Below are 27,771 nucleotides of genomic sequence, written 5' to 3'. Positions count from 1 at the left end.
TTTCTTTAAGCCTGCTTGGATCTGAGTAATTAATTCATTTCCCATCAAGATAAGACTTAAAAGCATTCTTTGTTTTATTGTGCAATTCTTCCTGATTCTTTTCTTATGAGAAAGGCAAAGAGAGATTGACTACTGGTGTATTCATCTCCAGGGCAGTGTTTAAGATGGATAAACTTTCTATTAGATTTATTATTATTTTTAACCTGCTGTTTGTTTATTTGTTTTAAATGAGACCAAATGTAAACTCATCCTTTGTGCCTAAGATGCAGTTAGAATTCTAAAGTCTTTCCAGTAACCTGGAAGTGCAGTCTACCCCAGTGGACAGTGTTAGGCTGGCTCTTCATTCCTTAGGACCACCTCCTACCTCCTGTTTGCTTGCATTGTGACAGCTGTCATACTGTTTTGGAATTATTTATTTACAACCCTAGTTCTCCTACTAGATTGTAGACTCTTGATGGCCATATTTATCTCTGCATCCCTAGAGTCTAGCATGTAAGCACTCAGTAAATCTTTGTACAAAGAGGTCTCATTTTTCTTACTGTTTTTTTTTTTTTTTTTTTTCCCTTAAGTAGGACTGGTCAGAATCTTGCATTAGTCTTATGCAGGATGAATCTGTCATGGATAAACTTGAGACTCTTCAAAGCAACATAACAAACATACAAGGTCAAGGCTTAAACTCCCACTCTTCATCTGATAGTAAAAAGTGTCTTTCACCCAGATTTTTTTTTTTCATTTCTTGATCCAGTTCCCACCTACCTCTTGAGGAGCCATTGCTTTTCTTTTTTCTGTTTTGAAGTTCTCTCCCAGTTTGTGATGTTTCTCCTTGTTGCACATAGCCACTTCCTTTCTTCCTCTGTTAAAAAAGCTCCTCTCCCCAGAATACTCCCTTGTAGCACCATGATTGAATGACCACTCTTTCTTAAGTGAACTTCTTGAAAACTAGCTTGAATCCATCCTCTTCATTTCCTTACCTCTTATTTCAGTTTCAGCCTATTGCTGTCTAGCATATGATATATCTGCCATTCTGCATGTGATATATCTCAATGCCTGTCATCATTTCCAGCATTCCACCCTATATGTGGCCTATATACCGCCATCTTCTGTCCCATGCTCTTACTGAAGTCTGCCTAGATTAGACCATTTTAAAGTCCATCACTACATACTTCTTCCTCTTCTGGTCCTTTAGCTTGATGGACACACCTGGTTTCATACTTACTAATTATTGCATTTGGCAACTGTATTTACTACTTAAACCATTCTTTCACCCTTACGTGGTTTGGGTTGGCTGTCGCTCTCAGGAGTACCTGGCTAGCTTGGCTGCATGGTTTCCCTGCCAAAATAGATACAGGAAGGGTAGTACCTCCTAGGGGATGCTATGCTTTTTGAGATAAGGCTCCTGGAAATAGGTGTCATCCAGTCTGAACCTATGAGAAATGGAGATCGCTTGAGATTATTGCCTACTTAAAGAACCTTAGTGAACTGTTCTACTAGGATTTACTTTTCAGAGCTCCTTGATGGGGAAAAAAAAAATTACACATTCGAGTTCTTCCCTCAGGGATAAAGTTGAAAAACTTGTCCATCAGCTTAGCTAGACGTTAGCAACCACAGACAGAAACTTTGTAATACTTTTTTTTTAAAGTTTTATAATATTCTTAGTTCTCATATTAGTTTTTTTTTTTCATCTTTTCCCATTTTTTTGTGATTATAAAACTTTTTACATTGGAATTGTTCTGTTACTGTGTGGAGCAAAAAATAAGAGGGGAAATTGTTTAGACCTTTTATACTAAGTCTTAGTATATCCAGAGGGGAGTGTAGGTGGTGGCAGCTTTACAATGGAAAGGAAACGTGGGGAGTCCCCAGGACCTGCAGTCAATGAATAACAGGCTCCCTCCGTGACTGGTAAGAGAGTTTTGGGAGGTGAGTATAACATGACTCATTCAGGTTCTTTCTTGCTCTTTAATTTCTGTGATATTTTGCTGGTCTATGAAACTGATAAGCCTTAATGGTTGCAGTTTATTCTGACCCAGAGTTTATTTTCTAGTGATGCCTTTATTTTTTTGTTGGGATGTTGCTGGATAGTAAAGTAAAACTGAAGATCCTGGCCTTTCTCATTGTTCTCCTTCAAGAAAATGGGATTTCAGAAAACACTTGTCTTTAGCCTTCTCATGAAATTAATTTCATAGACCTGTTTCTTGTTTTGATGGAACCCCTGTAGAGTTACCTAATATAAAGGTATATTAAGATTTTCTAGAGAAACAGAACCCATAGGCTAGATGAAGAGATAGATTTAAGAGGAGAGTTCTTGTAGGTGTTGGCTCACATGGTTATAAGGAAGTCCCATGATCTGTAGCCTGGAGAACCAGGACAGCTGGTGATGTGTTTCAGTCTAGGTTCAAAGGTCTGAGAGTCTGAGAATCAGGTGGACGGGAGGGTGTTAGTCCTGGGCTGGGTCTGAAAGCTTAAGAACTTAAGGCCGGATGTCTAGGGGCAGGAGACGAGTGTCTCAGCTCTAGCACAGAGCGAATTTGCCCTGCTGCCTCTTTGTTTATTCAGGCCCTCAGTGTATTGGAAGATGCCCACTTAAAGTAGGCAGTCTACTTAAAGAGGACCAGTCTACTTTGGTCTTCCCCAAAGTGGATTAGGGAGGATCATCTACTTTACTCAGTTATCAATTTAAGTGCTAATCTCTTCTGGAAATGCCCTCATAGACACACCCTGAAATAATGGTTTACCAGCTATCTGGGCACCTCTTACTTTACATTCACAAGTAATGTTAACCATCACAACAGAGTAAAAAAACCTGTTGTTGTTGTTATTGTCTTGCTTTTTTAAAGGAGAGATTTATTTCTGCTGCTAGTTTAACTTCCTCCTAAAACTGGTTTGGTAATATTCGTGAACTCCCATGACTAGAGAAACTTCAGGTGTCTGTAGAGCTCTTTGACTTTCAGAACCGTGTTGCAAGTGTCCTTAACTGATTTGAAAGTTCTAATAACAACCAACGTTGGAATGTTGATCGTGTTCTAGGTGCTGTGCCAAATGCTCCCCGCATAACCTCTCACCTGATTGCTAAAACAGCTTTATGAGCTCCGTATTGTCTACATTTTACAGGAGTGCCAACTGAAGCCTGGACAAGTAAATTATCTTCTCAGGTTACACATAGGCTGCTGGGCCTGGCTTCTGGCCTTCAATTCTAACTATTGTTATTTTCATGAAAGTGACACCTTAAGTGCTTTCTTTGGTAGTGGTGTTGGGGTAAGCCTTTGTAGAACAGTTGTTACAGAAAACTTGTTTACATGGAAGCATTCCTTCAGCGATGACTGACAGACGGGAAAAGCAAAGTGCAGGTCGACCATCTCAAATATGAAAATGTGAAATCCAAAATGCTCCAAAATCCAAAACTTCTTGGGATTGACATGATGCTCATAGGAAATGCTCTTTGGAGCATTTTGGATTTTAGATTTTTGGGTTCGGGATGCTCAACCTGTAAGTATAATGCAAATATTCCAAATTCTGAAAAAAGGCGAAATCAGAAACACTTTTGGTCCCAGACATTTAGAATGAGGGCTATGCAACCTGTAACTGAGAATTTTTACCTAGTGCATATTATGTCCAAGTAACTAACAACTGTTGAAGGAAAGAATTTTAACATCCCATTTTACTCTCATTAAGTGGTTGTGGAAATGACCAATGGCATTTATACTTAGGTTTGTAACATCATCCATTTATTATACGGTCTTTCTTTGCTTATCTGCTGCATTCTTGAGATTGAAAATTTTATCCTGGAATAATAAATGACCCTATCTCAAACAGCTGCCATGTTAAGATGAATAAGAACATCATAGGGGGAGTAGATGCATTTTTGGGAGGCCTCCATCTGAAGTGACATGAATTCATAACACTCTAGTTCTGTCTACATGTCATGCTGTTACTAGGTGAGCAGGGAACTGTCATTCCTACACCTTATTTAATAGAGGTGATCAGAATGGAGGATAAAGGGAAATAGCATGAGACTGTGAATGGAAGTGGGGATTCGCATTGGTTTTGCTGCCAAGTAGAATCGTGTCACCTAGCAAATCACAACATTTCTGGCCTTCACTTTCCTGACTAGTAAAACGAGGTTTTTGAACTAGGCTGTCTTTACTGATTCTTTAACTGCTAAAGTTCTATGATTTTACATATGAAACCAAACCTAACAACATTGCTAACGTGTATTTTTCAAAGCCACAGAAGTTACATGCACATTTAATGAAGTTCCAGTGGCTTTATTAGAATTGGCTGATTGTACCATTATATTGCATTATAATAGCAAGGGTGAGGGTTGTTTACTTGTTCGGGGAAGGGGGGCATTGGGGCTACTTGTACTTAAGCCTCAGGCCTGCCTGCTTCATGATCTTTGCTTGCCTTTTCTCACTACTAATTGCCCCTCACTTACAAGCTGAGACCTGCCCTCTTTCCCCTAGGGCTAATGCCTGTGTTGGGATCTTGAGCTGTCTTTTTGTTAACTGATTCTCTGTGTTTTTTTGTTTTTTTTGTTTTTTTTTTGAGACGAGTCTCGCTGTGTCGCCCAAGCTGGAGCGCAGTGGTGTGATCTCTGCTCACTGAAACCTCTACCTGCCGGGTTCAAGCAATTCTCCTGCCTCAGCCTCCTGAGTAGCTGGGATTACAGGCATGCACCACCACGCCTGGCTAATTTTTGTATTTTTAGTAGAGACGGGGTTTCACCATGTTGGTCAGGCTGGTCTCAAACTCCTGACCTTGTGATCCGCCCACCTTGGCCTCCCAAAGTGCTGGGATTACAGGCGTGAGCCACCGCGCCTGGCCCTCCTTTTTTCTTTTTTGGGACGGTGTGTGGCTCATTGCTTAGGCTGGATTGCAGTGGCACAATCTCGGCTTACTACAACCTCCGCCTTCCTGGTTCAAGTGATTCTTCTCCCTCAGCTTCCCGAGTAGCTAGGATTACAGGCGCCCGCCACCATGCCCTGCTAATTTTGTATTTTTAGTAGAGACGAGGTTTCACCAAGTTGGTCTGGCTGGTCTTGAACTCCTGACCTCAGGTGATCCACCCAACTTGGCCTCCCAAAGTGCTGGGATTACAGGTGTGAGCCACTGCACCCGGCCATGTTAACTGGTTTTCTTTTTTTGTCCCTGAGTTCCTGTCTTTAGGATCTGAACACTTGATTTTTATTTATTTATTTATTTTTTGTTTGTGAAACTCGTTTCGCTTTTGTTGCCCAGGCTGTAGTGCAATGGCATGATCTCGGCTCACTGTGCAACCTCTGCCTTCTGGGTTCAAGCAATTCTCCTGCCCCACCCAGCCTCCTGAGTATCTGGGATTACAGGCTCCTGCCAGCACGCCCGGCTAATTTTTGTATTTTTTAGTAGAGATGGGGTTCACCACTTTGGCCTGGCTGGTCTTGAACTCCCGACCCCAGATGATCCGCTTGCCTCGGCCTGCCAAAGGGTTGGGATTACAGCTGTGAGCCACTGTCCCCGGCCTTTTTTTTTTTTTTTTAGATGGGGTCTTTTTCTATTGCCCAGGCTGGAGTGAAGTGGTTTGATCATAGCTCACTGTAGCCTTGAGCTCCTGGGCTCAAACAATCCCCCACCTCAGCCTCCCAAAGCGCTGGGATTATAGGCATGAGCTACCACACCCGGCCTGAACACTTGATCCCTTTTTTTTTTTTTTTTTTTTTTTGAGACAGCAATGATGCGATCTTGGCTCACTGTAACGTACGCCTCAAGTAGCTGGGATTATAGGCGCCCGCCACCATGCCTGGCCAATTTTTTTGGATTTTAGTAGAGACAGGGTTTCACCATGTTGGCCGGGCTGGTCTGGAACTCCTGACCTCAGGTGATCTTCCCGCCTTGGCTTCCGAAAATGGGATTACTGGCGTGAGCCACCGTGCCCGGCCTCACTGGAGCTCTTTTAATAGGTGAACTCTGGTTGCCCCTTTGCATGTCTCTTATTCCTTCCTCTGCTATAGGAATATAGGCTTTTAAACCCCAACTCCGTGAGTAGACCAGCCTGCTTCTCTGAATTTCTGAGTACCAGGTGAACCTGCAGGGTGTCATGTCAGAAACAGAGACTTTTTTTTTTTATAGTGAAGATGTCCTTGATGACTGTGTATACAAATACACACACATACACACTTTTTAAAAAAAGTTAATTTCCAGACTTTATGGACAGTGTGCAGATTCTTTATTATATCACAGTGTTATTTTTCTTGCCTGCATTTCCCCCCACCTTCTATGGCTTTGCCTGTATTACCACATATTTATTACAGAATCCTTTGACACCAGTGTTCTGGCTGATTCCCTGTCAACCCTCTGTTGTCTCCCTCTGTTCCCCACCTAACTCTCTCTAAGTGGGCAGGCTTGTTTTTGGTTATGATTCGCCCCAAAAGTTATAAAAGTACATTTGGATCATAGTTGCCTTTGATGGTTTCTGCGGTAGAACCAGTGGTGCCAGTTAATTTCTTGAATGGCTGCCCCCATAAATTGGGAGTAAGTATTGGAAGTGCTTTGTGAGCTTATCAGGGAAATGACAGGACTGAATAATGATCTGTCATGGGCATGGTATGGGGGGTGGTGGCACATGTGCCATCATTTGCCAGTGGCCCCGGAAGCCCAACACTCTGTTTATATATGTGTATTAATTGTTTCTTTGGTTGTCCAGCATTGGACTCATAATGGCCTTTTGTATATATCAGGGTTCCTCACCGTTTGAAGTAGAGTTTCCAATACCTACTTTAACATTGGCTCAGCCACTTATATTTACAAAAGGTCTCAAGATTTCTTACTGGTAGAATTATTTAGATTCTATACTTAATATTAAGCAATTTCACCCTTGAGTCATAATTTCCAAAGTGTGCTCTCCCAGTATATTCTAATAGCGGTTCCCAGGATTTGGACCACGGACTGTATTGAGGAAAAATGCTGGTTGCTAGGTATTAAGAACTGATGTAAATTAGTAAGAAAAGACAGATGATCCATTGAAAATGTGGTAAAATAATAATAGGTAATGTTTGCCGAGTGTGCCAGATCCTGTGGTAAGTGTTTTAAATGTTGTGTTGGTTGCTTTTCATAGTTCCCTAATGAGATCATTATGATTATCCCTAATTTGTGCTTGAGGAAGTGAGGCACAGAAGCTCATTAAGTTCCCTGAGGTCACCCATACTTAAGTGATGGAACCAGGACTTGAGCCGAGTCAGCCCAACTCCAGAGCCTGTCCTCATAACCAATGTGTTGTAAAGGTCAAAGGAGATTTCCGGATCTTCACAGAAAGGGAACACAAATTCACATTGACAGATATAAATTATTTTGAGGTACCGCTTTTCACTTCTGAGATTCAAGTGTGACTCTGGCAAGAAGGTGATGTATATACTTACATTAATGGAATATATAATATCTTTTTTTAAAAAAATGATGTTTAACAGCTGTTGGTATCATTGCCTAAATCAATTATATTATTAGTGTTGCAGAATGATGATACTCTAATTGTATCATTATTTTTTCATGTATTAACTCTGATACTTTTTTTTTTTTTGAGACGGAGTCTTGCTCTGTCCCCCAGGCTGCAGTGTAGTGGCGTGATCTCTGTTCACTGCAAGCTCCGCCTCTCGGGTTCACGCCATTCTCCTGCCTCAGCCTCCTGAGTAGCTGGGACTACAGGTGCCGGCCACCACGCCCGGCTAATTTTTTTGTATTTTTAGTAGCGACGGGGTTTCACCGTGTTAGCCAGGATGATCTCGATCTCCTGACCTCGTCATCCACCCGCCCTGGCCTCCCAAAGTGCTGGGATTACAGGCGTGAGCCACCACGCCCGGCCTATAACTTTGATACTTTTATAAAAGAAATTTACTCCTGATCAATTACTTTGCTTTCTGGAAGTCACTTTATCCAGGAAGGCCAAGATAAGTCCTTGTTTGTTTTCCTTTTTTGTCTATTTCCAAAATGGTAGTCCCCCACCTTATTCATGGTTTTGCTTTCTGTGGTTTCAGTTAAATGGAAAATTCCAGAAATAAATAGTTCATAAGTTTTACTTATTTATTTTTTCTAGAGATGGGGTTTCACCAGATTGCCCAGGCTGATCCCAGGCTCCTGGGCCCTGCGATCCGACTCTCAATGTGCTGGGATTATAGGTGTGCGCCACTGTGCGCAGCCATAAGTTTTAGATTGTGTACCATTCTGAGTAGCGGGAAGAAGTCTTGTGCTGTCCTGCTCCATCCTGCCTGGAACTTGAATCAGACCTTTGTCCAAGGTATCCATGCTGTCTCTGCTACCTGCCTGTTAGTCACTTAGTAGCTGGCTTGGTTATTAGATGGATGGATCATAAGAAGGGTGAAGAGAGTACAATAGGATATTTTGAGAGAGAGAGAAACCACATTCACATAATTTTTATTACAGTACATTGTTATAATTGTTCTATTTTGTTATTTAGTTATTGTTTTTAATCTCCTACTGTACCTGATTTATACGTTAAACTTTATTATAGGTATGCATATACAGGAAAAAGCAGTGTATGTAGAGTTTGCTACTATCCACGGTTTTAAGTATCCACTAGGGGTCTTGGAAGTATGCCCCACATATAAGGGGGGTCTACTGAAATAAGTTGGTTCTCTTTGTATATAGTTTTCACCTTTGACTTCTGTAAATGTATTATTTAGTTAAAAATAACTAAAAATAATCTTTTAAGTTGAAAATGAAACACACAGAAGATTTAATTAGAATTGAAGATTTTGACTGTATAACTTTAGTGTTCTAACAAAAAGAACTAAAAAAATGTAAAACTCCACTCAGTTTATAGTAATTTGTAGTAGTTTTATTTAGGATAATATGTGTAGTAGTTTTCTTGATTGTAGGATATAGCATATGTTACTCAGGAGGTTCTCAAATTGTTACAGGAAAGAGGTCCCAATCCAGACCCCAAGAGAGGGTTCATAGAGCTCGTGCAAGAAAAAATTTAGGATGAGTCCGTGGAGTAAAGTGAAAGCAAGTTTATTAAGAAAGTTAAGAAATAAAAGAATGGCTACTCCATAGACAGAGCAGCCCCAAGGGCTGCTGGTTGCCCATTTTTATGGTTATTTCTTGATGATATGCTAAACAAGGGATGGATTATTCATGCCTCCCCTTTTTAGACCATATAGAGTAACTTCCTCATGTTGCCATGGCATCTGTAAACTGTCATGGCGCTGGTGGGAGTGTAGCATTGAGGACTACCAAAGGTTACTCTTATTTTTTTTTTTTTTCTGAGACAGAGTCTTGCTCTGTCGCCCAGGCTGGAGTGCAGTGGTGCGATCTCGGCTCACTGCAACCTCCGCCTCCCAGGTTTAAGCAATTCTCCTGCCTCAGCCTCCTGAGTAGCTGGGATTACAGGCACCCGCCTCCACGCCCAGCTAATTTTTTTGTATTTTTAGTAGAGACGGGGTTTCACCATGTTGGTCAGGCTGGTCTCGAACCCCTGACCTTGTGATCCACCCGCCTCGGCCTCCCAAAGTGCTGGGATTATAGGTGTGAGCCACCGCGCCTGGCCCACCAGAGTTTACTCTTGTGGCCACCTTGGTTTTGATGGATTTTGGCTGGCTTTTTTACTGCAACCTGTTTTATTAGCGAGGTTTTTTATGACCTGTATCTTATGCCGACCTTTTTTATCCTATGACTTAGAATGCCTAACTGTTTGGGAATGCAGCCCAATAGGTCTTAGCCTCATTTTGCCTAGCTCCTATTCAAGATGGACTTGCTCTGGTTCACGTGCCTCTGACAAAATGAGTACACATTGACTCCTCCGGGAAGGCTTGTTAAAACAGATTGCTAGGCCCCACCTTCGGTAAAAAGTCCTAGTGCTTTACCAGACTGGTAACATAGCCCAATGCACAAAAAGGTTGGGAGTCTCTGCTTTGGATCTAATGCCAGTCTGCAGGTATTGCCAGGAGAGCAGAGAAACTATCAAAACAGCACCACAAAGACCCAGTCATTATTATTATTATTTTTTGTCTAACAAAAAGAGGTTGGATGGTACTGTTATGTTGCAAGGGACACACTCAAGATACACTTGTAGTCTTAGATACTGGTTTGGATAAACCATCTATGAAGGATCTTTTTGAAAGATCTTTGGAGGTCTTCTTTTAGAAACTTAATTATTGCCTGAGTGTTAGATGAGATTAAAAAGATACCGAAATGGAAAGGTGGAGGCTGGGCACAGTGGCTCATGCCTGTAATCCCAGTGCTTTGGGAAGCTGAATCAGAAGGATCTCATGAGGCCAGGAGTTTGGGACCAGCCTGGGCAACATAGCAAGACCCCATCTCTACGAAGAAATACAAAAACTAGCTGTGTGTGGTGGTGTACACTTGTGGTCCCAGCTACTTGAGAGACAGGGATGGGAGGATTTCTTGATCACAGGGATTGGAGGTTGCAGTGAGCTGTGATTGTGCCTCTGCACTCCACCTGGGTGACAGAGTGAAACCCTGTCTCTTAAAAAAAGAAAGGTGGAGATCAACAGCTTAAAAAGCTGGTAACAGTAGTATCTACAGTGTAATCTCATCTTGTGTGTGCAAAATGCACACTTGTAAATATATGTGGGTGACAGTGTTGGAAATGAGCTTTATTAAGGTGTTAAAATGGTCATCTCTAGATGATGGGGATATGCTTTTATTTTCTTGGTTTGGCTAGTCTTTGTTTTCTAATTCATTACATTGTATGCCTACTGTTACTGTAAAATAAAAATCATTTAGAAAAAAGCCATCTTTTCAGTGAGAATGTCATTTACCACACTCTTTAAAAGAGAAATCCACCCAGCTACACCTCCACTGTTTCTTATGTTATGTCTCTGTTTCTTATGTTATTTTTCTCCATAGAAATTTTCAACAGCTAACATATTCTGTGTTTTGCTTATTTATTTTTTCTTCCACCCACTAGTACATAAACTCTATAAGGGCAGGACTCTTTATTTTGTTCTGTTTTCCCCATCACCCTGAATGCTATCAAGCATTCAAGTAGGCACTCAGTAAATCTTTGTAATTAAATACATGAATGAAAAATATCCAATATCTATGTATATTGGGTTATTGAAGGAAAACGGTGAGTTACAGTCAAGTTTAAAAACCATTGTGCAAACTATTAAAAGTTCCAACCAGGCCTGGATTTATCTAGGCAGTAGGTTTCTGTTGTTTAAGATCTGTCTATTTCCAGTATTCTCTTTTTTTAATGGAACTAGTCCTAAGGAAATAGGAGGAGACGAAGCGCTGGTTGGGATGGACTTTCTCCCTTGATGTGCTTTTTCGCCTCCGCATTCCTGCATTCCCTCCTGAGACACCAAATGCAATTTTTCCAGTGCTACTGTGGTGCTGTAACATGGGCAGTGTATTGGAAGGAATATGTGTATTAGGATTTCTTAGCAATATTATTTTCTCTCCCTTGTGCATTCTAAAGAGCAAGGACCAAAAATCCCAACCGTGCCTGCTTTTATGTAGCTAAGAGTAGCTTTATACATTTGCAATTGATCTGACGATTGGGAACTCTGATTAAGTCAAATGTTATTCCCCCAACAGAAAGAAATCCGTTCTTCTCATAGTTGACCAGTGTGTTAAAGAAAAAATTATTCTCATACTTGTTAAAATGGTAAGGAAGACTTTGTTTAAGACTGTTGTGATGGGTTTCAAGACCGTCACAGTATGGGACAAAGATTGGGCTCAACTCCAGATACAACAAGAACAAGTGGAGGTTTATAGCTGAAGAGGTTGGAGAGTCAGTGGATGGGAAATTACTAAGAGGAAGACATCAAGGGTAGCGAGATTCTCGCTTAAAGGACCCTGAGGATTCTTGTTGAAGGCAGTACGGGATGATCAGATATCACTTGGTGGATGTTGGAAGAGAGGGGTTTGACCAGATATCGTGGGTGGGAGCATTCTCTCTAAACTGACTTCGGAGGATTCTTGCTACAACTCTGAAGGGACAGACACTGAAGGCTAAAGTAGAGGCCCCCTTGAGAAGAGGGCTCAAGGGAACCTGACTAAAGGTTTGGTCGAGAGTATCTTTGCCAAGTATTAGAAAAAATTATACCCAATTGTTATATTTTGATTTTTGTCAATAAAAACTTGTGTGATTATTTGTATCCTCTCATTATATAAGTACCTACATCATATTATGGATCTTGCCTCTTGGCCTGCAAAGCCCAAAGTATTTGCCGTCTGGCACCTGGCAAGTTTCTTGACTTCTGCCCTGGAGTTTTATTACTCTTCTCGTGAATTTTAACAGCCTTACATTTAAACAAAGTTTACCATTGATAGGAGGACCTTGTGCTCATTGCTCTCAGAGGGCTGGCTGCAGGCAGAAAGAGCTTATTTAATGTGGCACACATTGTTTTCCAGTTTTTTTCCTGGATGTTTTCAGCTGGACACCCAGAACGTCTGCCTGCCTGTCTTTTTCTGACCACTTGTTTGCCTTCTCCCTCCCTCCCTTGATCCATTCATGAACTCAGGAACACCCTCACTATTGGTATCTCGGTTCTCTGGGGCCATTTACACCTGACTAGAGGATCTGCTCACTCCCTGTGCCTGGACTTCCGACCTACAGAGCTGTGAGCTAATAAACAGGTGTGGATTTATGCAGCTCAGTTAGTGGTAACTTGTTACACAGCAATAGAAAACAAATACAGATCTTTGCAAGGTTATCTCACTTTAAATGATTTTCCCCTTCTTTGTCTGCCCTTTAAATTTCCACTAGTATTGTTTGTTTTTCTTTTTACAGCAAAGTTCAGAAATGTTTCCCCAATCATCTTACTTTTCAGCAACATTGAAATTCTGTATTCCCTAGGATTCAGTTACATATCCCTCTTGTAGCACTTAACACTTAGTGTACACTTGTGTAATATTAGTCTTTGAGGTCTGTTTTTGTATTTCTGCTCTCACTCCCAGGACACAATAGTTGCTCAAATATATTCTGAAATAATGAGTAATAGGTCCGACATCAAGAATTTTGGCTGAAAAAAAATCAGAGACTCAGACTCCTATAAGAACCTCAGGATGGTCCCAGTAGAAAGCTTTCAATTAGATTAAAATGCCAAATAAAATGGCTTTTATTATATTCATAAATATTAAGTGTCCAGTGTTCTTTATTGATATACAGACACCTTAAAAAATGGGTTGTCTTTTCTCTTGCAGCTAATGTGTTCATAAGATAAGGTGAAGTGTTATTTAATAAACAGTTTTTCATTTTTAGGCATTTTTGAAAGATATCTACTATGGCATTAAAAACGCTTCAATTTTTCTTAACGAAATGCTATTTAATTTCATGTAAACTTACAGTTTAATGCTAAGGCAGAAAAATAGGTTATTTCCTTTTTATTTATGACACTGCTAAATAAAGAATTGAAAATAGAAAAAAAATCAGGCCTCCTTTATTTTTTAAAATGTCAGATCTTTGATAAGAATGCCTGGAAACTTGAATCTTATTTATTGAACCGTTTCAGGAGTTAAGGGTAACCACGAGCCCAGGTTGGAATCTGTTGTCTCAGTGTAATTATTAATGGCAACTCTTTTTATCCTCCAGTGTGTTTGATGATAAATTGTATTGTGACCTTATAGTATATGCTACCTGTTGATATGTTTGACTTGCTGTCTCATTTTGAATAATTGTTAACCTTGCAGAGATTGAAGTTAGAAGTACTATTGTAGATGGTTTGGGAAGGCAGAATATACTGAACTCTCCCCCATTCACCAAATCTGTAGGAAAGATATTGAAACCGAGTGATGGAAATACCCACAAGTTTTCATGTCTGTTTGGAAACTTGAAGGATCATTTCTCTATTATGGAATTTGGAAATTTTAGTAGAATGTGTCCAGCTATGCATCTTTTTCATCAGTTTCCCTGGCTTGTAGTTAGTCTTACAAGTCTCTCTTCAAATGAAAGATATTTCCTTTTCGTTATTTTTTTTGCTCATGTACATATTTATATTTATACATTATGTTTTTGTTGTGGGGAAACATACATGTTTATCATTTTAACTATTAGTGTACAATTTAGTGCCATTAAAGACAGTTGCCTGTGGTGTAACCATCATGATCTATACCCAAAATATTTTCATCATTCCTGATATGGTTTGGCTATATTCCCACCGAAATCTCATCTTTAAGTATAGCTCCCATAATTTTCACGTGTTATGGGAGGGACCTGGTGGGAGATAATTAAATCATCAGCTGTTTCCTCCATAACTGTTCTCATGGTAGTGAATAAGTCTCATGAGATCTGACGGTTTTATGAGGGGCTTCCCGTGTTGCTTGGCTCTCATTCTCTCTTGCCTGCTGCCATGTAGGATGTGCCTTTCACCTTCCACCATGATTATGAGGCCTCCCCAGCCATGTGGAACTGTGAGTCCATTAAATCTCTTTTCCTTTATAAATTACCCAGTCTCAAATATGTCTTTATCAGCAGCATGAAAATGGACTAACACAATTCCCAACATAAACTCTGTGCCTGTTAAATAATATCTCCCCAATTTCTCCCTCCCTCAGTCCCTATAACCTCTATTCTACTTTCTATGGAGGCATTTCCTTTTATTTCTTTAATTATTGCCACTCTTCTCCTTTTTTTCTCCCAGGGGACTTGTATTACTTGCATATACTGTAGGAGTCTTCATGATTTGCTTCCCAGTAGTGGCTTTTGTTTACTGAATTAAAGTAAAATTATGTTTTCCCCAAATTTTAAATTTTCTGTGCTGTTATTGAATCTTCTTAGGTTGACTCAGGTCTGTCTGCTTTTGTATTTCTGTACTGTTACTTTCTGTCCCCTCTGATAGCCCCATGTCCTTAAAAGCAGACTTCTGGATTGTTCCCACGTTTTCTTTGGCCTCTAGATCCCCGAAGTAGCCATGCTTTTCTCTGCCTCCCATGGCCCTCTTCACGCTTGCGTTGGGTTAACCCCTTACAGCTCTTGTTAGCCTGTGAATTGTACGAGGCTCAGGGGTGGTCCCAGCCCCCTGAAGCCTGGTGCTGTAGGCACCAACTGAGCTCATCTGGGGAGTTAAATGATGTCAGATCTCCACAGCCTAAGATTTTGTCTGTTGATTCAGGGGGTGCCAAGGCTTTGACTTTTTTTTTTTTTTAAAGCTTCATAAATTATTTTGATGTGCAGTCAGAGTTGAGAACCAATGTTCTGCACCAAGGGTAGGCAAACTCCTGCTGTCTAGGCCTGGCTAGTAAGTATTTTAGGTGTACAGTTTCCGTTGCAACTACACAACCCTATACATGTGAAAGCAGCCATGAAACAATTCACAGATGAGTGAATGTGGCTGGGTTCCAATAAAACCTTGTTTATAAAAGCAGTTTACAGGCTACAGTTTGCTGACCCCTGCTCTAAACAGATCAGCACCATTATCCCTGTCTATGGATTCCGGCACTGAAGGTCAGAGCAGGGATCACTTGTCACTTACGTTTATACTAGTGTCAGGTAGCAGCATGGATTCAGATCTGGGTACCCTGACATCCGGCACCCCAACATCCGGCACCCCAAGCTCTGGCTTCACCCGCCACACTTTTGCCTTTTGCTTCCCAGGCGCCTGGCAGCTGTAATTCAACATTCTGTAAAGTGGGTTTGGCGGGCCATTGTAGTGTTATCACTTCAGAGAGTTTCTTGGTTAGATAAATTGGAGAAATATTTAACAACACAAATTTGAGTAAGCATCTTCAATTTAGAATGGTTTTATTTGGCAGGTAGTGCTTGCCGAATGCATTTGGCCAAAGAGCTTTTTGGAGAGGCTATGTATTCAAACTCTTGTCCTGCTCTGTGGCTCTCTTGTTGGTGACAATGGTGTAGTGTTTCCAACTTTAGATGAGTGCAGTGTGCCGTCATCCTGCTTTGTCATTAGATACCACTTATACTGTTATTTAGACCAAGGGTCACCAACCCCCAGACCTTGGACCGGTACTAGTCCATGGCCTGTTAGGAATGGGGGCTGTACAGCAGGAGTTGAGTGGCGGGTGAGCAAGCATTACTGCCTGAGCTCCACCACCTGTCAGATCAGCTGAGCGTTAAGAATTCTCACAGGAGTATGAACCCTATTGTGAATTGCACATGCGAAGGAGCTAGGTTGCATGCTCTTTATGAGAATCTAATGCCTTTGAAATCATCCCTGTTTCCCCCATCCATGGAAAAATTGTCTTCTGTGAAACCAATTCCTGGAGCTAAAAAGGTTGAGGACCTCTGATTTAGAATATATTGTCTCAATTTAAATTTTGCTCATTTAAAAATACTTATCTAAACAATATCTGTGAAGTTGTAGGTTTGAGTTATTTTACCATGTTAGTGAAAACATGTTAGAGGAATGTTTATGAACCCCAGAGGCGTTAACAGTTGGGGGAGACTGGTGTGGTGGAGCAGATGCTGTTGACCTTTTCAGGAGAGAGCACAATAGCCCAGCCTGGTTGGTATTCAACCAGAAGATGCTGATAATGAAAACGTCCACTATCAGCTTTATCATTCTCTAGCTGTGATGTCCAATTGCATGGATCTTAGAAAGCAGTCATAGGGCCTGCTTTAAGTGCTTCACCACACATTCTCATATATATTTACACAAGCCTTGTATTGTCTCTTAGAAAGGCCTGGGATGATATACAGATGAGGCATTAAGTAACTAAGAGGTTAAGAACTTGTCCAAAGTCATGAAGCCAAATCCTGGTGTTAAGATTCAAATTCTAGTATTTTGTATTCCGGAGTTTGCCTTCTGTGATTACTATTAAATGCTCGGTAATTATTGAGGGAGGGCAGAGACTGGAAAAATGACCCTAAATACAAAATAGGTTAGAGTTGCCAGCCAGGGCACTGAACCACATCCTCACCCCTTGGAGGTTCCCCTGCATCTGCCTCCCTTTCTTTGAGTTGTTGGAGCAGGATGAGTATGGCACTTTAAGAAGGGTTGTGGTCAGGGACATCTGACTGTTTTACAGAGGACCTGGGACTTTAGATTTTGGTTGATGTATGAGGTTTTCTTGTTTTACGCAGATACCCTTGTGATTAAAAGTAATAATGGTCAAGCTTTTTCTATGAGTTGTAGCTTTCCCTGGACGACGGGGAAAAGATGGGCTAGAAACCAAGCCGTCCATGAATCACTTAGCATCCAGAGAGGACATGTAAAAGAGGTTGGAGGCTCTACTTTTAGGAAATGACCCCTTTATGGCCCCTTAAGTAGATATACAGTGAGCTGCGTCTGTTTACTTTTTCTCCTTTCCTTTCAAAATTCTGTTGAAAATAATAGAAGAAGCATAAAAATATGGAAAGATCCATAACAGGGCTGCAAAATGAGAAAGTTGCTCCAGAGACCCCGGAAGCATTGAGGACGTTGTGGAATAAATAAAGCAGATGGGATCAGATTGATGGCGAAACTCCACAGCAAAGGAAGTAGGAACTTACAACCCAATAGAGACAGAAGTGGGAATAACTAGAAAAATGGATTTTCTTAACAGCATCCTGGATGATTCCCAAGAACTGAAACCATAGGGGGTGGCAACAAAAGTGACTAATGAGAGCGCCTGGCCAGGAATTAATAACCTGAAACAGCTGCTCCAGTTCTGCTCTCAGTCTGGCTCTGAGGGGATAGTGGTCCAGTTTGCTTCTGCAACAAGGCCATTTAGCTTAGTTTTAAATAATCTGGGAGATTTGCCAAGGCAGAATATAGTGGGCGACTGTATAGCAGGAGGGAGAAGTTGTAGCAGGTGCCAGGTATCTTTTGTGTCTCCATCTCCACGGATATGAGGTTTCTGAACCTAAAAGTAAAGGCAGTTCATTACCCATTATTTTCATGTGTGCTAAAGAAATCCTCTGCAGCAACTAATAGTGAGCGTTCTAGCCCCACATTTGTAAATATGAGCCAGCAACCAAGAAGGATCATCAGACATTTGAGAAGAAATCAACAGAATGAGAGGCCACCAAACCAGTCCCATGGAACCACTGGGGAAAAGTTAACACAGGAAAATTCTAATTCATAGTCTCAGATCCAAGAGCAGAGCAACTGATTAAAGAAAAAAAAAAGCATCTAATGGGAAAGGTTGAGCAAAGGAGGAGTTCTTACAAGTTAAGTGTGGGATTATAATGTTAAAAAGCTCTGGTGTGGGCCGGGTATGGTGGCTCACACCTGTAATCCTAGCACTTTGGGAGGCCAAGGCGGGTGGATCACTTGAGGCCAGGAGTTCGAGACCAGCCTGGCCAACATAACAAAACTGTCAAGTATGGTGGCCCATGTCTATGATCCTAGCTATTCAGGAGGCTGAAGCAGGAGAATTGCTTGAACCCAGGAGGTGGAGGTTTCAGTGAGCCGAGATGGCACCACTTCACGCCGGCGTGGGTGACAGAGCGAGACCCTGTCTCAAAAAAAAAAGTGCTGGTGTGGGGTCAGTAGGTGGGCTGAAGGGAGAAATGGAAACAACCAAGGACTTAAGAAAATTAGTCTTCTGGAAAATTAAGCAGAGGATTTATTCCACAATTCAAAGCAGAACGTTATTAAGATGAGAATTTTGAAGCAGAATTAAGAAATGTGAAGGTTGGAACTAAGAGATGGAATATCTGGCTAAGGAGCAGATGGAGAAAAAAAAAAGGCAGCCTAAACAATTCTTTGATTCAAGGATGCCATCAACAGTCAGATGCTTATTTCCAAACAACTTTTCAGCGAGGGAGCCAGAGATCTAATTATTCTTAAGAGCTGGTTTCTCTAAACGTGTACATATTTTTTTCCCACCCAGTGAAATGCCACTTCCTTAGCACCTCTGTCACCCCCAGCCTTCTCATGCTGAATCACTTAACCATTTGTATTCTGCATGGTATCATTTTAGTACAAAGCTGCTTACGCTTTTTTTTTTTTTTTTGGAAACAGGGTCTCACTCTATCGCCTAGGCTAGAGTGCAGTGGCGTGATCTCAGCTCACGGCAACCTCCACCCTCAGGGCTCAAGCGATTCTCTTGCTTCAGCCTTCCTAGTAGCTGGGATTACAGGCATGCACCAACACGCCCGGATAATTTTTGTATTCTTAGTAGAGACGGGGTTTCACCATGTTGGTCAGGCTGGTCTCAAACTCCTGACCTCAAGTGATCCACCCGCCTTGGCCTCCCAAACTGCTGGGATTATAGGCATGAGCCACTGCACCTGGCCTGCTTACACTTTTTATTTGAAAATAATTTCAAACTTACATGACTATTAAAAGAATAAGAATAATGGGTAGAACCTCTGTATATTTTTTACCCAGATTTACCTGATTTTCCCATATTACTAGCATTTTACCCCTTTATTTTTTCTTTTTATATATGCATGGAAAATATATTTAAAATCATTTTAGGGTATATTGCGTGCATTGTAATTGCACAGTTTTTCATAAAAGTAATCTTGACTTTTTCTTTAGCATCTTTAGGTTGTGATAATATAATTTGGATGCCTGTGTTAGGTTTTGCATTTTTTTACTTGGGGTTCATTTAACAGCTTTAAAAAAAATGTAATCATGCATCATTGGAAGTTTAACTGTTTTTCTTATAAGTTAGCTGGCAGCTTACCAGTTGTGACCTGCTTGAATGATAGTTCTCTATGACACATGAATGAATCCCTCCAGCCTCTCCTCAACTTCAAATTCTGAGAGATTTGATATTTCTCTGCCTTTAATTATGCTGACTGTCGTAGCATATGCAATCTTCTATTACACAACTGTTTATTTCAGTGCTGCATCATAGTGAAACCTTAATGTATAAACATTAAGCCATAATTAAGGATCCAGACTTAAAATTCAACCACAGTTTGTGTGTGTGCCAACAATGACAACCACTGATAAATGCTTAACTTCCTCCTTTTTCTAACAGCTGGAAGATTCTTTTGCTATCAGTTTTAAGATGGTTTTAAGTTTAGAAGGTCTAACATGTAGAAAAAGTATCTTAGGACACTTTTATTGCAGTATGAAGAGAAGGAAGAGTACTAGACATACTCTGGTAGAATTTTTGATTTCCAGAAAGAATCCCATAAGACTTAAGCAGGAATAAGGCTGGGACTGAGATTTATATTTCTGATCTGTACCACTGCATGCCATTAATTATAGGTGCTATGTCATTATGTCCTCAGGGAAGATCTTTGAACATAGAAACTTAAACCCAGTTTTATTTTTTACTTCATTAATTCATTGCACAGATGTTGTGGGACCTTTTCTGTTGGGTCTCCTGGGAAGCACATGCCAGAGGGAAGCACATGCCAGAGTGGAGCTAGGAGTTAAAGATGTTTACTAGGGGGAATTACTATGAAAAATAAAGAGAGAAAACAGAAGCAGGCATAAGAAGTCTTCAGATGGGAATTGCAGGTCTAGCACCTGTGAAAGGAGAGGGGAAGGAAAGGTCTGAGACTGTGTCACAGCTATGAGGAAGGCTTGGCCAGCCCTTTGCAAAGCTCTGGTAGAGATTGCCCACCAGAAGTCTGCTGGGTAGAAATGCAGAGCCCCGCTACCACTGCTGTGCTCAGTCATTGGCTGGGGACTGCCTGCAAAGTGCATGACTCTGCTTGAAAATTGACGGAGGCAGATCCTCTAGACGTCTGTGGCTGGGGGCCCTCAGCTAACTGCTCTCCTGCCCCAAGGCCCTCTTTTAGAAAGACAGCTGAGTAGGAGCATGTGGCTGCAACAGTCACTCATACTTGACACTGCTGGAATGTTAACTCTGCCATTTAGTCTGTGTGTGAACCTCAGCAAGTTAGCTAATTTCTTTTGCCTTGCAAATTTTTGGTAATTGTTTTGAAGAAAATAATAATATCTACATCATGGGTTTTGTTTTGTTTTGTTTGAGACAGGGTCTTCCTCTGTGGCCCAGGCTGGAGTGCAGTGGAACTATCATAGCTCACTGCAGCCTCAACCCCCTGGGCTTGAGCAATCCTCTCCACTCAGTCCTCCAAGGAGCCAGGACTACATGCTCACACTACCATGCCTGGCTGTTGTCTTTACTTTTTTTTTTTTTTTAAGAGTTGGGGTCTCACTGTGTTGCCCAGGCTGGTCTCTAACTCCTGGGCTCAAGCAGTCCTCCTGCCTCAGCCTCCCAAATTGCTGGGATTATAGGTATAAGCCACTGAACCCAGCTGTATCACAGGGTGCTGGTGAAGAATGATTGAGTATATTCACTGCACAATATGATCACTCAGATATTCACCATTATGTTCTTTTTTTGTGAGGATGCAATTATGGTCAAATTGGAAAAGATTTTTATACTTTATGTATTTTACTTTGTTGTGAGAGAAATGGTAGATACACAAATGCCTGAACAGAGTGATTTCAAATAATGAGAAGTGTTACAACAAGGTGAATAGAGTGAAGGCAAAACATTTCTTGACACACAAGAGCTAAAGCATACCACCCAGAATTATTTTCTGCAAAAATGAATGAATGAGTCAATGCATCCAATCAAAGGAAGAGACATTGATGAACCAAGTAACTAACCATGCTTATGACAAAATTGATTTAATTGCTGATGCCATGTGGGATTAAATGTAATTTTAATATGAAGAATTATCAAATGGATGGAGAATTTTGAGATTCAGTAGATACTCTCATTTTTGCTAGGAAGAATTATTTTAGAAAATGGCGTTTGATTTGCATTTATCTGAAAACAGAATAAGCTGAGACAGAGTAAAACAGAAGTTGGCAAACTTTTTCTGTAAAAGATCAATTAGTAAATATTTTAGGTTTTACAGACCAGAATGTCTGTTGCCACTACTCAACTCTGCTGTCCTAGCACATCCTCAATATTTGGTAACTCTTGGTCCTATTAAAATTATTGTAGGAGGTATCTTCTGAAAGAGGAAATCCTTTGTACACGTCTGTTTTACTCTGTAAAACTTTCACAAAAACATACAAATAAAAATAAAAAGCAGCCATCAACAATATGTAAACAAATGGGCATGGTTGTTTTCAACAAACCTTTAAGGGCATTGAAATTTGAATTTCATACAAGTTTCATGTGTCATGAGGTATTGTTCTGATTGTTTTTCATGCATTTAAAAATTTAAACACTGTTCTTAGAGGTCGTAGGCTTTAAAGAAAACCAGTGGCTGGCTGGGTTTTTTTGCTTTTGAACTAGAACTTTGAAGAATGTTGGGAGTCACCAGTTTTCATGACTGGGGTAAATGAAGGAAAGCACTGAAAATTTATTTTTGAGGAGTTAACATTCCTGATTTTTGCTTATCACAGGTGGCTCTAAAACTTTAGGATGTGTACCAATTGAAGTTAGTGACTCACCTGGCCCAAAATCTAGCCAACCTTCCTTTCTTATCTCTTTTTCTTGTACTTGATAAACAATGTTGTAGCAATAACACATATTATTATACAGGCCAAATCTAACACAGTGTCAATTTACATTAGTACAATTTGTAAAATGGCAAATCAGAAATGTCAAGGTGTGGAAATTTTTATTGTTTTGAGACTGGGTCTTGCTCTGTCACCCAGGCTGGAGTGCAGTAGCCAGATCATAGCTCACTATAAACTCAAACTCCTGGGCTCAAGCGATCCTCCTCCTTGGCCTTCCAAAGCACTGGGATTACAGGCATACTAGGGCCTCAAAGAGTGGAAATTTTAAATATGTAAATATATGCCTTGATCTTTCTGTGTGAATACCTAAAGTGCTTCCTCTCCCTGAGTCCTACAACACTGCATCTTTCTGGTATTTCATTTTGTAGATAGACAAAAGAATTCCATAAAGTCCCCTATTATTGGAACCAACGTAAGTATACAGCAATTAGCTTTTACAGACAGTAGTGCAATGAATAATTTTGCTGTATAAGTATATAATTATATAAGATGTAATATGTAATATATTTTGTACAAGTGCAAGTATGTCTTTAGGGTAAATTTTTAGAAGAGGAATAAATGGATGAAATAGTGTATATATGTTTATACTTTTACCCTCCATAGTTTTGTTTTGATTTTTTTTGTTTTGTTTGTTTTTAAGTGACCGGGTCTTGCTATGTATATCACCCACGCTGATATTGAACTTCTGGGCTCAAGCAATCCTCCCACCTTCACCTCCTGAGTAGCTGGGACTACGGGAGTTAAGCTACCATGCCCAGCTGATTGTACTGATTTATAGCAAAATATTGAGTGGCTGTGTCCCTCAGAATATAAAATGTGTGATCACATTTTTCCCCCACTGTGAAAAGTTATTTGTGACATCTCGTTTTAATTTGTGTTTCCCTCATGACTAAGGTTGTCGTACATCCCTTTATTTGATTGTGATCCATTGGTGTTTATTTTTCCTGAACTATCTGTTCAAGCCTTTTGCCGATTTTTCTTTCTTCTTTGTTTGGCAAAAGATTTTTAAATACTTTAAGTGCTGAGATACATGTGCAGGACGTGCAGTTTTGTTACATAGGTATACATGTGCCATGGTGGTTTGCTGCACCCATCAACCCGTCATCTACAGTAGGTATTTCTCCTAATGCTCTCCCTCCTCTAGCCCTCCACCCCGTGACAGGCCCCTGTGTGTTATGTTCCCCTCCCTGTGTCCATGTGTTTTCATTGTTCAACTCCCACTTATAAGTGAGAACGTGAGGTATTTGGTTTTCTGTTCCTGTGTTAGTTTGTTGGGAATGATGGTTTCCAGCTTCATCCATGTCCCTGCAAAGGACATGACCTCATCCTTTTTTATGGCTGCATAGTATTCCATGGTGTACATGTGCCACATTTTCTTATCCAGTCTATCATTGATGGGCATTTGGGTTGGTTCCAAGTCTTTGCTGTTGTGAATAGTGCTGCAGTAAACATACGTGTGCATGTGTCTCTATAGTAGAATGATTTATAATTCTTTGGGTATATACCCAGTAATGGGATTGCTGGGTCAAATGATATTTCTGGTTCTAGGTCCTTGAGGAATCGCCATGCTGTCTTCTACAATGGTTGAAGTAATTTACACTCCCTTCAACAGTGTAAAGGCATTCCTATTTCTCCACATCCTCTCCAGCATCTGTTGTTTCCTGACTTCTTTTTTTTTTTTTTTATTTGAGACAGAGTCTCGCTCTGTCGCCCAGGCTGGAGTGCAGTGGCGTGATCTCGGCTCACTGCAAGCTCCGCCTCCCGGGTTCACGCCATTCCCCTGCCTCAGCCTCCTGCTTAGCTGGGACTACGGGTGCCCTCCACCACACCTAGCTAATTTTTTATATTTTTAGTAGAGATGGTGTTTCACTGTGTTAGCCAGGATGGTCTTCATCTCCTGACCTCATGATCCGCCCGCCTCGGCCTCCCAAAGTGCTGGGATTACAGGCGTGAGCCACCGTGCCCAGCCCCTGACTTTTTAATGATCACCATTCTAACTGGTGTGAGATGGTGTCTCATTGTGGTTTTGATTTGCATTTCTCTAATGACCATTGATGATGAGCTTTTTTTCATGTGTTTGTGGGCCGCATCTATTGGGGAGGTTTTTTGTTTCTTAGTTTTTTTTTAGAGAATTCTTTGTATGTTTAGAAAATTAGTCCTTTGCCTTTAATAGGAATTATAAATATTTATTGTTTATCTTTTAACATTGCTTATGGATTTAAAAACAATCAAAAAGAAATTTTTAAATGTGCTACATTTTCAAATTTCCTATTTGCTCTTTTCCTTAGTTCTGGGAAATCCTTAGTTATTATGGCTTGTAAATCTGCTTTTCTTAAACTTCTGTCTCTTTCTGAGGCTCATCTCTGCCTTCATCTTCATAGAGCCTTGAACTCTGTCTTCTCTTCTTTCCTTTTAAGGACACTTGCATTGGATTTAGGGCCTACCCTAACTCAGGATGCTCTCCTCTCTAGAACCTTAACTTAATTACAACCACAAACACTTTTTTTCTAAACAAGGTCACGTTCACAGTTTCACATTCACAGGTTCCGGGAGATGCCTTTCAAACCACTTCAGCCATTCAACCTGCCACAATAACCCTATTTGATTGTTTATCTGATTTTTCCCTACAATGGTTGATGCCCCAAATTATAGCTCCAACACATTTGATCTGAATATTTAGTACTCTTGAAATATATTTTTAAATTTCTCTCAAAAGGATAATCATTTTGTGCCTTCTGATATACAAGGTGTGAGTGTTGTCAACAGTTTTCCATGATTCACTCCATTCTGGGACTTGCAATAGCAAGCAACTGAGAACTTCTAAAACTACTTAATTTTTATTTCTTCTGCTCCATAAACTTTTTGATTTTTTAAAAAAATATGTATAGTAAGTCTCACTCCTGTTTTTGTATTCCAGCATAAGCGATGTACCAAACTAAAACTTGGTACTGTGTTAAATGGTAGCAGTAGACATCAAGGACTTCCTTAATGGCGTTGAAATTCAAGAGGCGAGAGCTCCAAGTAGCGTTCCTAAGCATCGTCCATAGATCATGTGGCGGTAACATCATTAGTATAGAACAGAAATGGGTGTATATAAGCTTTATGACTTCGCTCAAGTTTTATATTTTTCATTTACTTACCTCCTAGAAAGTTTGAAATTTCAAAGATGTCAGCAAAAATATTGATTATGAATGGGTTTTAGGTTTATAATAATACATGATATTATGCATTTGCTAGTTCCACAGTCCCCTATTTCAAAATTGAGTGTAAAAGCTGTCTGCAGAGTAGATTTATTCATACTGATTCTGTTTTCTTGCACAAAATCCTTAAACACATCAAATAATGTGTAGACTGAATACATTAACTTGAGGTTGTAAACTGTATTTTTAAGGTTACAGTTATAACGTTTTAAGTGTGATGAAATGTCTTCCTTTTTACTTTCCTCAATAAAATCTATCATTTCTCGTACTAAAGCTTTTATGACTGAGGAAATGACAGTCCTTTGGCCGAAGCATTCTGGAATTGCAGTGAGTGTAATTCAGCCACTACCCTGGCCGTGTTTTATAAGCTACTCATGTTTGGGTTTCATTCTTTACTCAGAAACAGAACACTAATGTCACTGAGCTTGGTCGTTGTGTAGTTTTCATTTCCCTGTTCTTTGGTTTATTTTAAATTCTTAGTGACTGCAAAGTTTGACAGCTTTGCTCATTAAAACATAGTAATTAAATATAGAAAATTAAAACTAGCTGGAAAGGATCTCGATAATCACTCTAATTTTTTCTTTGTCTTAAAAATGAAGTTGAAGTCTACCTAGAAAAGTGAAGTGACTGTCACACAAACTGAATCATTTATTCCTTGTGGGGTCGCAGTTAAAACCCTAGACTCTGAATACAGCACCATTGTTATTTGCACTACTTTTAGTGCCTGTGAAGTTTCTAACGTCAGTCACTATATAAACATTTATTGAATATAAATAAATAAATGTGGCTCTTTAATCTCAAAGCATAAATTATTTACTTGTTTTTATTTCTAAGATACACTCAAAATAAACTCAACCTCAAGCTGTACTTAGCAATTAAGATTCTTATATTTATTACCAGGAGGAAAAATACTTAAAAAAATAAAAGTCTTATTTTAGAGATTTCGAAAGATATTGCAGGATTATAAAGAATAAAAGATAAATTGGCCAGGTGTGGTGTCTCACACCTGTAAACCCAGCACTTTGGGAGGCCGAGGTGGGCGGATCATCTGAGGTCAGGAGTTCGAAACCAGCCTGGCCATCATGGTGAAACCCTGTCTCTACTAAAAATACAAAAATTAGCTGGGTATGGTGGTGGGCACTTATACTCCCAGCTACTTGGGAGGCTGAGGCACAAGAATCACTTGAACCCTGGAGGCGTAGATTGTAGTGAATTGAGATCGTGCCACTGTATTCCAACCTGGGCAGCAAGAGCAAGACTACGTCTAAAAAAAAAAAAACCCAAAACAGAAAAACCCAAAAAGAATAAATTAATAGAAACCTCATCACTAAAATAGCGATCATTTTGATGTTTTCTTCCCAATTATTATTATTTTTGACTATACAGAGTCAGAAATATATTGTCAATCAAGGATATCAGTTTTGATGTTTGCTTTTTAAAAGCTTGTAAGCATTTTTCTCTTCATCAGGTTTCCTTTGAAAGAATCATTTTTATTGGAGGCATACAATTTTGTTGTTTGGATGTATTATAATTTGTTTAACTCTTCTTATAACTGACCTCTTTGGGAGTTTCCGATTTTTGTCTGTTTTACATCATGCTGACATAAAGTCGCTGGAAATACCTTTTGTCAGTTTGGTGAGTGCCGGCTCAGGATGGATACTGTTTGGGATAGCTAGGGTCATAGGCTCTTGGTATGCTCTGCCGGGCTGCTTGGGAAATCTTGTTCCGGAAGTGAGCTTTGAGTCCATATGTGAGTCTCAATTCTGTTTTGCCTGTGCTAACTGCTTTTTAAAAACAACAACAACAAATCCTTTGTGGTTTTGATGAGAGGAAATTGTATTTTAATCGGAATGTTTTTGGTCACCATGTTTTCTTCATTCCAATGATTGAAGACTTATCCTTGCTTTAGTAACTAACAAATAGCTTTGTCGGGTGGTGGAGGGACAGAATACAATCCAGTAATATACTTGGATTGTAAGATACATCTGGACTTCAGAAAACATTTTTTAAAAAATTTGTTTCTTTCAGTAGATTTTGGGGGAACAGGTGGTGTTTGGTTACATGAATAAGGTCTTTAGTGGTGATTTCTGATATTTTGGTGCACCCATCACCCGAGCAGTATACACTGCACCCAGTGTGTAGTCTTATCCCTCATCCGCATCCCACCCTTTCCTCGAAGTCCAATGTGTCATTCTTTTTTTTTTATTTATTTATTTTTTTTTCCGAGACGGAGTCTCGCTCTGTTGCCCAGGCTGGAGTGCAGTGGC

General features: G+C 40.2%; 1 protein-coding gene across 4 annotated transcripts in view; it reads left to right on the top strand.

The window, feature by feature from the left end:
• ADGRA3 (adhesion G protein-coupled receptor A3) overlaps nucleotides 1-27,771 on the top strand; it is a 128,691-nt gene that overhangs the window by 12,612 nt on the left and 88,308 nt on the right. The window contains exon 1 of one of the 4 annotated variants that reach the window (XM_047449703.1): nucleotides 563-25,831. The exons of the other annotated variants lie outside the window; for them this stretch is intronic. The gene's annotated coding sequence lies outside the window, so the exon portion shown is untranslated. Of the gene's footprint in view, nucleotides 1-562; nucleotides 25,832-27,771 lie in introns of those variants that run through there. 4 annotated transcript variants of the gene reach the window in all.

Source organism: Homo sapiens, chromosome 4 (genome assembly GCF_000001405.40).
Source record: "Homo sapiens chromosome 4, GRCh38.p14 Primary Assembly".
Lineage (NCBI taxonomy): Eukaryota > Metazoa > Chordata > Mammalia > Primates > Hominidae > Homo > Homo sapiens.
The sequence above is the reverse complement of the archived record's forward strand: the minus strand, read 5'-3'. Positions and strand labels throughout refer to the sequence as shown.